The sequence below is a fragment of the Homo sapiens genome, chromosome 13 (genome assembly GCF_000001405.40).
Source record: "Homo sapiens chromosome 13, GRCh38.p14 Primary Assembly".
Lineage (NCBI taxonomy): Eukaryota > Metazoa > Chordata > Mammalia > Primates > Hominidae > Homo > Homo sapiens.
The window spans coordinates 102,316,804-102,329,376 of NC_000013.11; the positions used below are offsets into that span (position 1 = coordinate 102,316,804).

The 12,573-nt window shown below is 38.2% G+C and overlaps 1 protein-coding gene and 1 long non-coding RNA gene across 18 annotated transcripts in view; both read right to left on the reverse strand.

Annotated features, from left to right (window-relative positions):
• The window catches only part of FGF14 (fibroblast growth factor 14), a 691,640-nt gene that overhangs the window by 606,000 nt on the left and 73,067 nt on the right, over nucleotides 1-12,573 (reverse strand). For 2 of the 17 annotated variants that reach the window (NM_001321935.1, NM_001321936.1), the window contains exon 1: nucleotides 833-901. The exons of the other annotated variants lie outside the window; for them this stretch is intronic. The gene's annotated coding sequence lies outside the window, so the exon portion shown is untranslated. Of the gene's footprint in view, nucleotides 1-832; nucleotides 902-12,573 lie in introns of those variants that run through there. 17 annotated transcript variants of the gene reach the window in all.
• FGF14-IT1 (FGF14 intronic transcript 1) overlaps nucleotides 1-12,573 on the reverse strand; it is a 102,200-nt gene that overhangs the window by 24,484 nt on the left and 65,143 nt on the right. The window lies entirely within an intron of this gene.

The window sequence follows — 12,573 nt, forward strand, 5'->3', positions numbered from 1 at the left end:
TACAACCTCTGAAACACCTGAGAAATTATAGTAAAAATAATGTAATCCATTCTCAGGGTTATCATCATGATTACTGATATTAAATGCTGGCATCTTTCAGGATGATTGAGATGTGGAAAGAGTAGCTCTGACATGCAGTAAATTCACCTCATGATACTCATGATACTTCTTTTGATTGTATGGCTTTTTTAGGCCATTTTCCATCTTTTTTTGGGCCATTTTCCATTCATTAATTCATTTCATTCCATCACGTACCTTCTCAGACATGTGATATAGACAGGCACCGATGTCAGTATGCCTGCCTCTAGCACAGATGCATTTCTCCTACACTAACTACTTGCTACATTTATTCTGCAAGAAGCCATTAATTTACACTATACAGTCACTAGCTTTGTGAGAAAATAAGAGTATAAAGGTTCTGAGTAAGATTCTTAAGACCTTTTCTAGAAGTAAATAATTTGAACCATACATAAACATTTGCAAGATCGATTCAGTAATTTATATTCTTTCGTTATTCCTTTATTCCCACCTGCATTCTGTATAGTGGTAATAAGTATTAGAAAAAAAAAGATCCCCAAAAACAAGAGGAATTAAATATATATATAGATATTATGAACCAACTGATATGTTCCTTCCTCATTTACACACATTGAAGGAGTTAAGAATGTTTCATCCTTTCTCCTGGTTTTCTGCTTCTGTCTCTGTTATAAATTATATCACTTAAATATAAATGAATGAATTTTTACTCTATAGCTTTGAGACATTCTGGTTTTTAAACCTTTGTTTTTTTTCTAAACACTTTCCAAAATATAGGACCAAATTTTTAACATACTTGAGAGGCTTGAGTAAGCTGAGAACCAAGGAGAGCAGCAGATCCCTCAGTCCTGGACAGGACCCGCCCCTCCCTTCACTACTGGGGAGGAAACATCCCACCCCTTCTGGCTTCTACCAAATGTGACAACTTGCCTGCTTGGCCTTCTGTTAAGAGCTGGATTTCCTGTCCCCCTCCCACACACTGGGCAGCAGCCAGACTGCAAAAGTCCAGTTTGACCATGTGGAAACCTTTGCTTGGTTCCTGCCAGAGCCTTTCAGTAAGCTGCCCTATTTAGAGTCCAGCTCAGATAAATCCTCCCCTTCCACAATCTGGCCTACTACAACAATTGCAAGACCATAGACATCGGCCCCAGTCATGCTTGATTTTTAATTTTTGTTTGCTTAGACTAGGGTTTATTCATCATGTTACCATCATGTCTGAAAAAACTGATAATGGTATCTGGCATTTTCAGTAAATGGAGGGAGTTGGAGGCCCCAGCCACCTGGGTCTTTCCCAAGTATCTTGAAAGCTGAGAGGATCAACACCTCAGCACACCTGCAGACATTTAGGGCCAAGCAGTGGGAAGATCTAAACCCCTGGAAGGAGCCAGAATTCAGTTTGAAATCTACTCACATAGGGAGTGCCCTGGGTGCCATAGGAGCTGCTGGCAGCAGGGGGTCCCAACTGCGTATCCTCAGCCTTAGAGCACCCACCCTACCCAAACTGGGCACTCAGATGTATTTGTGTCCTAGGCTGCTGTAACAAGGCACCATCAGCTGCGTGGCCTAAACAACAGACATGTATTGTCTCACAGCTCTGGAGGCTGGAAGTCTGAGATCAAGGTATTGGCAGAGTGGACTCTTTCTGAGAACTGGGAGGGAGACTCTGGTCCACGCCTTTTCCAAGCTGCTAGTGGTTTTTCTGCCTGTCTTCAGCTTTCCTTGGCTTGTAGAAGTATCACCCTGATCTGTGTCTTCTTCTTCGACTGGCATTCTCCGAGTCCCTATCTGTGTATAAATTTCCCCTTTGTGTAAGGACACAGTCATATTCAACGAAGGGTCTGCCCTACTCTAGCATGACCTTATCATGACTAATTACATCTGCAACAACAGAATTTCCAAGTAAGGTCATATTCTGAGGTTCTGGGGATTAGGACTTCAGCACATAAATTTGAGGGGGGCACGTTTCAACCCATAACTCCAGGAATGACATTGATGGCTACCTGTAGATCATCTGAGACAGGGTTTGGCACACAGTAGGTTGGTACTCAATACACATGTGAGTTAAATAAACGAATGCATGAGTGAATCATCCTTTCTGAGTGCCAGTGAAGAAGTCTTTAACTTGGGGTGTCGTGATTTTCATGATCACCATTGAGCATTGAAGACTATTGAGGAGAGAAGCCGTTGCTGCGAGCTTTCTGAGGCTGCTTGCTGAAAGACGAAGGCACTCCTTGCTGTCTGATCACAGCAGAAGGCTCTGAATTTGAAGTTGGAGTGCTATAAATAGCAGTTAGTCTTATCCTTCAAAATGTCATGTGTACTTTTTAAAAAGATTTTAGTGTCATATGAGAGTCCCTGAGTAATTCAATTTATAGGAAAGGGAGATCAGAAAGAACTAACCATATTATAATTAATTACATATGCAAATGATGGACTACATCTAGATGCATGAATCCATGTCTAATCATAGTTGGCAAAGGTTGGCAACTGCACACCTGGACTGGGGAACACACCCCCTGCTCTGCTTAGATACAGACGCCATCAACAACCTCTGAAAATTTCCCAGAAAACCTGGAAATTCAGTCCTGTAAGTGCCAAGCCTCCTGCCTTCCCCCATCCCTCTCTGGGGCTTGCCCCCACCAGCACACAGCAGTGCAGACACCATACAGCATGGCTGCGCTATGGTGAGGCATGGCCAGTGGGAGGAAGGCCACCAATTGCATACAATAACAACTTTGTTGTCACTGCTAGGAGCCGAACCAGCTGCGATGCCTTACAATTGCTACTTAAATGTAAGCAGTGTCAGGAAAGTCTGAATGTAAAGAAGTTTCTCAGTTCTTGAGCCAAATGACCGGTTGCTTGTGTTCTTCTATTAACTCTAAAACAATTAACTCTATCAGCTTATGCTGATAGCCACTGTGCATTTTTTGGAGCACCTGGGCACTAGCTAAGGATAGTGACTGATATGTGGATGATGAAATATATAATAGAGATGATATAGACATAGATGTGCCAAATGCTATATATACATGTATGTATGTATATATTCATATATATGCACATGCATACTGATGAAAGCCACTTTGCTGATATCCCCAAATAACCACTGAACTACAGATTCCAGATTTATAGAGCATATTGTTGGTGTTGTTTCTGAGAGTACCTACCATAGTATTCCTGTGGAAAGATACACACCTATATAGTTTCCATTTTCAAAATGCATGCATGTGCCTCTGTGTGCGTGTGTGTGCTCCCAAAGCAGCAGTTGTAGGGGACTGCACAGAATAATCGTTCGGGAGATAATCAGGAGTCCTAGATTTGAGTCCCAGTCTTGCCACTGATCAAAAATGGAAAGAATGAGTTCTATCACCCAAAGTATGAGCATGCAATTAAAGAGATTATGTGAAAGAACCTTGAAAACTCCAAAAAAAAAAAAAAATGACCCTCATGAGACTTCACAAGTCAACAAAGGTAAAAATCAATGGCAAAAGTTTCAGGCAACCTTGTGTTCATCCAGGTGGAGACATGCTTAATCTCTCCTGACCCTGCAAACACTTCTGGGCACCTCCCTGGCATGCATTCAGTTGGTGCTGCACTGGAGTTGCCATATGACTGCATCCTGAGTCTCTGCTGTGGGACTGGAGTTATCCTAGGGAAAATGGTGACTAAACCAATTTCCTCTTCAGTGTTCTTTTTCATTCCCATTTCCTCCTGTTTTGGAGACTTATTTTGTCATACAGTCTTAAAGGAAAGGGATCTGGTTTGCTGGTTCACAATTAGAGGTAGGAGGCAAGGTAGCTCCTCCCCTAGGAGTTTGTGCTCTTTGAAAGCCAATGTGGGAGGACCTCCCTAGAAGCACATGGAGATATAGCTGAGCAGCATCTATCTACTCACCTACATATTCCCTTGAATGGGGCTAAAGATGTGCATGTTATGCCAAAAGCTGAAAAAATAGCAACATGAGATAGGAGAATGGATAGTGAATGTTCATTGTGAACTCTTTAAGGAGCAATACCTCATTTCCTATTTCCTTCATCCCTCCCATTCACCTTTCACACTGAATTCTTAGCCAACTCTACATAAAATAGACTCCCAATAGGACCAGTATGGCTATACTCAAAATAGCCTCTCTCTAATATGGGCTCAATTTATAACCTGGGTAGCTGGTACAGTTCATACGTAGAAAAGTTTTGGCCATTCAAAAATATTGGAATGTCTGATTCCTGCTTGATATTCTGTAGAAGTAAGGGCACCAATTTGCAAGTCAGGAGGCCAGACCACAGTGTCTCCTTAACTGCCAAATGTCTATATATCCTTGGACAGACCCCTTCATTGCAATAGAGCACATTTTTTCTCAATAAAATGACTGAATTGAAAGCTATAGCTCTAAAAAGCTTTCAATTCAGTGCTGGAAATTCAAGTTATATGGACTGTTTTAATTTCCATGGTAGTCGATAAATAATATGGTATGGCATTTTGGTTAACTTGAAATTACCATGTAACTCCATATATGGAGTTACTATATAATTTGCAATTCTCAAAGAATCATAATGCAAAAAATAAGTATTTAACAATGCAACATATAGAATACAATTTTTAAATGAATTTGAAACATAATGCTTCCCAGGGTCATTATAAACACAAATTTTCATTTATCCATATATTTTAAATTGCTAATTATTGGAAATTTTTGATAAATTCTTGTTAGTGGCTTTTCCATACTCTATTGTTTAAAGTACGTTTGTGTGCATGTGAGATTATTACAAGCAAAGGTAACTGAATAGGGACCTACTGCCAAAATCTGCTTACATTTCACTAATTTTGATTAGGCCTTAATGTGTTTTCTAAACTTGGGTAGGGCATACCAAATACAACAAAACTAGATTCCACATCTAGTTCATAATCAGGAGCATTAAGTATATGATGACTCTATCAATTCTCAGTAGTTTGGATTCCATAACTAATAAAGAATCATGTTTTATCCTGATTAATTGGTTCAGATTAATTTAGCACCCCCTGCCAATGTCCCATTTTAACTGTCTTCAAACCCAAAGGTAGAAAGTGGCATTTAAATGTTTTTCAACTCTGTACTGGGAGCAGACCAAATTTCCTAAGTCAGATCCAAGCCAGAGTGGTTTGACCCAGACAGGATTAGATTGAGCCTAGGAAGGGTGAGATTGGAGAGAGGCACCCAAACCCTGGAACACAAGGAGGGTGGCTGACAAGCCCTTTTCCTTCCAGCATTCACTGTAATGAAAAACTAATGGGCTGGAGATTTGCCTTCTAGGAAGAGCTTAAGCATTGCTTTACTAAACACACCTACATATTGTCTCTAAATGTCATGCTAAGATGTACAGGGTATTGCCATGAACTTCTTGAGCAGTTAACTCAGTGGCTTAATGCTTGCCGTGAAGCATCTTTAAACGGAAACATCCTTTACTACTAAGACTGAGGCTTCACCATGGTATCAAAGGAAGTCAGTAAAATGTACCTTGGCATAGAGTGCAGGAACATATTTATTACTGGTGGGAAAGACCTATTAGGCCTGTCTGTCACAATGCCAATGTATAATTTATCCCTGAGGCTTTTGGGGATCCTATAACTGCCATGATTTTAATGGCTGGTGGTGAGTCATGGGCATTTATGAAGATAGAGCACTTCACCGACTACTGATTGGACTCCTAAGATGCACATAATCCTTAAAAAATTATCCAAAACTTTGTCTTAAATTTGAAGTCTTCTCATACTTATAAATAAAGTTGTGGTTCAATAGCTCTTTCTCTGTCTTCTGCATGATTTCCTTTTGGTACAATTATCATCATTGACTTGGCAAAAACAATGTAAAACACAGGGCTGCATGGAACTTCTAGAATTTCAGAGGATGAATACATTTGTAGCTTCATACTAAAATGTGTCTAAATTATTCCTAAAACATGCATTATAATATGTGTTCTAATTCCACATCCCTATTATAGAAACAAATACACATACATTCCCGTACTGTCCCATCTCTACCTCTTCCAGTCTATCACCAAACTTAACATTAAAAAAAAAAAGTTGCCATGTGATATTGAAAACAAAACAAAGTATAAGCTAAAGAAATATCCTACTTTAACCTCTTTGATCCTTGCTTTTCTCACAAATTGATCCTTACGCTAGCATTTCTTAAACTGGCAAACAGCTTAAAGGTGAAACAGAAGCCCTGTGGTTTCTGCTCATAAAGTAAATTTGGTTAGTATTGACTCCAAAGGCTTTTGTTTCCATTTTTGCCCAAGTGTAAGGTTAAAAAAGTTGCTGCAATGTCAATTTATAAATTATTGTTAATCTGTGTCAGCATTTGACACATCGCAGTATATGAGAAACACTGAGAAAAATTGTTCCATGTCAGTTTGAGACCTTTTAAGCTGCATTAGTCACAGATTTCTCTAAGAATACCTGGAATTCTGAGTCCTCAAATTAAATCAGGATTATATGTAGTTATAAAGGATTTATAAGTTCATATTTTCTGTAGTTCATTAACTTGCTTCTTTTTATTTCATTTCCTGTCTTTGTTATTGATGAAGTAAGCTAACTGAATTTCATTAAAGTCTGTTTTATAATTTTCATATAAGTTGTCTAACCAATAAATACATAAAAGACTGGTTTCACCATTTGAAAGGCATTGATATGACATTGGTAAAGATCAAAAGCTTATCTCAGAGACAAATTGAAATCATATCATTTGTGTAGTAATCAAGATTAAATTTACCAAGAGTCCTTTCTTTTTAAAAACTGTATTGGCTCCTTTGTGAATATAGCAGTAAGATTTTACCAGACGTCCCTCTATATTTTTTGACCTTTGAGCCTTGAAAAGATAAATGACCTACAATAATCAATATTCTATCAATCATTAAGAACAAATTGGAATTAAGTTAACCTCCTAGTAGCAATAAAATCTCATACTCATAGGAGATTTGAATTCAGGTTCTGAGATTAATTTGCTGCTCTCCCACTTGTAATGTACAACTAAAGGAAACAAATTTAGTTCAGGTCAGTGATTATTTCATTAAGCCTTCAAACCACTGCTTAACAGAATGTTATATATCAGATGACTCTTTAAAGGATCCCAACGTGCAGTATGTGTGTGTGTGTGTGTGTGTGTGTGTGTGTGTGTGTGTGTGTGTGTGTTGCTGTACATGTGCTGTTGTATGTGAGCACAGGCACACATCTGGAGGCATTATCATATATATCCTTGTCTGATTTTATGGGAAAAAGAAAGCTATGATAATATTTTTACACTCAAGGACAATAATCATAGCTATAAAATTCAGTGTGCCTAATGCCATATCCTAACTCTAAGATAAAAGTGGAAAGAAGCGGCTGTGGGCTTAAGGAATGGAGGGAGAGAACCCTCTTTCTAGTGCCCTCCCTACAACACTAATAAGAGCCTCATATGTGTTGTGATGAAGAGCTTGGGCTCTAGGGTTAGACTGACTGGGTTCAAATTCTGTTTCTACCATTTACTAAGTATGTCCTTTGAGTCATTTATCTAATCTCACCAAGCCTCAGTTTCTTCATCTGTAAAATGGGGCATTTATTTTTACTCATTCAACAAAAAAAGGTCTTCAATGTCTGATACATGCTGGGCGCTATGCATCCTGAGATGCAATCATAAACAATACCTAGCTTTCTTCCCACCCCTTGTGGAGCTTTAATGCTAGTGGTCCTTGTCAGGGTTAGATCAGCTCATGCATCAAAGTCTTTGACACAGTGGCTAGAACAGAGCAGGCCCTCAAAAAACGTCAGTTCATGGGAGGATAATTATCACCGGGTGTCAGGTGACATGATCTCCAATCCCCACAACAATAGGGTAACTGTTATTAACTTTGTTTTACATATTAGGAAACTAAGGCTAATAAGATAAGATGTCTGGCCCATTTATAGTTTGTTTTTCTCTATTAAAGACAGATATTGCATTTTTATATGAGAAGATCTGTGTGTTCAAAACGTGTTACAAATGTGAATACACTTAAATAATAACTCCTTAAAACTCACCCCCTTTTCACTGTACCATATCGCCTGCTAACCATTAATTGATATTTGTTTTTTTTTGATAATTTTGCAAATGTTAAAGGTGAATTTTTAAAAACTTTACTGTGATTCTCAATTCAATATCATAAGCACACACATACATATGCACACACAGCACCATCAAAAGATTTTTTTAAAAAAAGAGGAAAAGATCCTTGCAATCATAGCACATCAAAGAGAAAATGCTCAAAGGAAATGGAAGAAACCTGAAAATAAAAGATGGGACCAGACTTCTACAAACAGCTGTCAAATAGCCTACAGAAACAAGGCATAAAGGATCCCAAAGGAAAGATGAAAAAATTATACTGGGTTTTTAATTAAACCTGGAATTTTTTTTTTCCAAAGAATTTTGAAAAGAAATGGAGAGCATCCTGTTAGATCAAGGTTATGAACAGAAGAAAAAAATTTTAGAAAAACGTTGTGAAATTATTTTTCTCTTTTTATTAAGAAAAAACAATACCAACAGTCTTTACAATATTGCTTGGGGCCATTCAAAGACTGTACTTCCTTTTCATGATCATTTTCTGTCTGATCTTGGGTCTTACCACACCCTCTTGTGCACCCCACTCAGCCATTGTGGGCACCGTGGTATTATTTGAATGTGCAAAGAGGCATACTAACAGGCTGTTTCCTCTGCCTGGAATTCTATCGTCTGGAGTGTATCATGGGTAAGGCCCTTCCTTCCTTCAAGAGGCCTGCACTGTCCTTACAATTTAAAATTTCAATTTGCAACCTCACCCGTATTTTAGTAATCCTGATCCCAGTTACCTAAGCTTTATTTTTCTTCTAACACTACCATCCTCGGTCACACTATGTGCTCTACTTATCTACCATGTTTATCTTTTATTTTGTCTGTTTCCTCCTGCCTAGTCCAAAATGAATATAAGCTCAACGAAGGCACAGAATTTTGCCTTCATTTGTGTTTGTTTTCATTCATCTGTTCACTGGTGTACTCTGGTGAATATAAACTGTGACTAATGTGAACAAACAAAAAGTGTTTGTTCAATAAATCCTAAATACCTATAATTTTTTTCATACTTGCTCCAATGGACATAGGTGATGCTTAAAAGCAAAACCAAACAAAATAGCCTAGCACTTCTGATTGGGCATCTTTAAGAGTAAAGGAAAACTAATCATCTCTGTTACTTGTAGAATTGAAATGTGAGATGAATTCAGATCACTATGAGTATTGTTCAATTCAAATTTTAAAGCATAACCTCAAATAATAACTAAATGAAATTTGTAAATAAGCCCAGAAGCCCAGGAATAACAATCAAAGCATCAAATGCAAGCATCAAATGAAAATGCAATAAATTTCTTGACTGAAAACATGTCAGCCAAAATACTGTATTGAAAAATGCCATTAAATATGCTAAAGTGACAAACTGCACAATGCAAATAAAACTATCAGTATAATTAAGCCGAACTTATATAGAATTATTATATAGCCTAAGTTCAATTTAAATAAATCAAACCCAAAAGAAGAATACTGACCTCTTGCTTATGATTTTCTTGGCCCAGTAAACTCTTTTCTTGGGACATATTAGTGATTGGTAAATAAATAATGAATGGTATAAATATTTAGCACTACTTCCTCATCGCTGAAGGAAGAAAAAAGTACTTATCTATTTATAAGTTGGCTATGAAATGGGGTTTGGGGGATAGAAGAAACATGCACACAAGAAAATAGCTCAAAAAGGAAGGAAGGAGGGAAGGAGGGAAAGGGAGGGAAAGGGAGGAGAAGGGAGGGGAAGGGAGGGGAAGGGAAGGGAAGGGAAGGGAAGGGAAGGAAGGAAGGAAGGAAGGAAGGAAGGAAGGAAGGAAGGAAGGAAGGAAGGAAGGAAAGAGGGAGGGAAGGAAGGAAGAAAAAAAAGGAAGGAAGGAAGGAAGGAAATATATATGAGCAAACCAATGTTTCAGATATGGGAAATTGTGACTAAAAAAGAGGGATCATGAAAACTAAAATATATGAACTAGTAGAATATGATTTTGAAACAGTCAAGATAACCCCAATTATTCCCCACGGAAACTGAACCTGAAGGGAAAGTTCTGTTCAGCTCATGTGTTAAACCATAATAATAGTTCAACCCAGCATAAGATAAACACAGAAAAAATCCAAAAGCCCAAATTGAAACAAGTTAAATAAATAGAATTTCCCAGCAACTATGATCACAGTTCAAGGTGTCTTCATCAAAATAAAGTTCAAAAATGCCAAGTAATGGTCTACCAGCCTACCTGGTGTAGATTTCTGGTCCTCCAAATTGCATAAACTATTTAAGTCCCTATTTCTTTACTTTCAGTAACATTAATGTTAATATAAAATTATAAACACAGCTTCTCACATTTGGCTGGTTTGCAACACATCTGTTAGGATCCAAGGTGACTTGGCAGGGAGCAGTGGGTCAAGTCAACACACCACAACATAAAACCACTTAAAAGTCACCACTAATTATTATTGTTATCTCGCATAAGCTTACACCAATATACAATGCAAGGGCAAGTATCCATTGAATTACTAACAGATGCCTCCAACTCCAAACAATTACCTTAATTCAAATAAATAGATTTGGCCAAATCACTTATATAAATCTCTTTTATCTAACAGAGGGCGACTGTACTACGATCATGAAAACAGAGGAGATCAGCTGGGTGTGGTGGTTCACACCAATAATTCCAGCACTTTGGGATGCTAAGGCAGGAAGATCACTCAAAGCCAGAAATTCGAGACCAGCCTGGGTAACATAGTGAGACCCTGCCTCTACAAAAACAAATTTAAAAACTTAGTTAGGCATGGTAGTGCATGCCCGTGGCCCCAGCTACTTGGGAGGCTGAGGCAAGAGGATCACTTGAGCCTGGGAGGTCGAGACTGCAGTGAGCCATGGTGGTGCCACTGCACCCCAATCTGACAGAGTGAGACCATGTCTCCAAAAAAACAGAACAAAAAACAAACAAAAAAAAAGGATATCAAGAATTGACTCATTTCCAAAAAAAAATAAAAATAAAAATAAATAAAAAATAAATAAATGGTTTATAAGCAAAAGGCAGGATAAAAGAACCTGGAAGGATCAAAAAAAAAAAAAACAGAATAAATGCTGGAATGTGAATTAGCAGAAATTCTTCACTGCTATGAAAAGAAAAATGAAAGTGGCCTAAAACTCATAAGTCTCCCTATTATCTCAAACCAGAGCACGAATGGTCTTCTCCATTCTCCCTTCTGGAATGAAAGGCAGTGAAGTCTCACTGTTTTATTTTGTACTTGAATTTTAACATAAACAAACATTTGCAACTTATTCAAGTTAACCATCTTGAAGGTTGAAGTTCTTCATAAGTACATTTATTATTTAATCGCTTATTTATCAAAAATTTTGACCATTAACTATGTATAAACCTGTGCCAAGCACTAACTGGGCAGAAATCAAATTCTTTGCAAGTGGCTATAAAATTCTGTGAGTGGTCTGGCTAAAATAGGTGAATTTGTCTTCCAGATAGACTATTTTATCTTCCATATTTCTAGAAAAACTGACATCTAAACATGTCTCTACCTCCTCTATTTTCCCACATAAAGCACAGGTTTCTATCCTCCTTGTAGTTATTTGCTAGAATATTAGTCTGCCCCTCTAGACTGTGAACTCCTCAAAGCAAGAATTCTGTCCATTCATGGAGCTCCCACCTACTCCCACACTTAAAGCTCTAGAGCACTGCCTGGTACATTGTGGATGCTTAGAATAGCTGTATCGTGTGATACACGAAGGAGGAGCAATAACGTAGAGTGGTAAAGGGGAAAATGAGTTCCTTAGTATAAATATCTTGTATAAATTAAGATACATTATACATGTATAAATTAAGATGGAGCCCTAACAAATAAATGGAGCCCTAACACTGCTCATATTCCAGGAGTTATAAGAGTATTCCAGATATTCTGGTGTTCCGGTGAAACTGATGCCATTATTTGTAGGAATAGGAAAATCCTGAAGCCCTACATGCTCTTGGCAAACCCTCCATTCTCCTCTCCCCTTATCACACCAAGCCTCACCACCATAATGTCCCTAGGCCTCCTACAGCCTAAGTTTATTTTCCATTTTTAAGAAGCCTAGGAGTTCCAGTTCGTTCCTGACCTCTCAGACTGTCACCCCATATGGTTCTGTACATCCTCCTCTCTGGCCCTATCCACTATGACCTAACTGCTGAAGTTCTTTCACTTTCAACTTTCAGTTGAGCAAATAGAGGGTTGCATTAATACCCATGAGCTTACATCAAAGCTCATGGCTACTAGTACAAAAGCTCATGGTTATTAGTACAACCCACTATTTGATCAACTTCTCTGACTCTACCCTTCAGCTTCTTGCTCCAAGGCTGAGAGCTGGCTCTCCTCTGAAGATTTGGCTTCTTATTAGCCCTGTGAGTGAAGGCTGCTTTTTTTCCACATGACCCCAACAGTAGTGTCAAAAGCCTCCTTGTTCTTTGCCA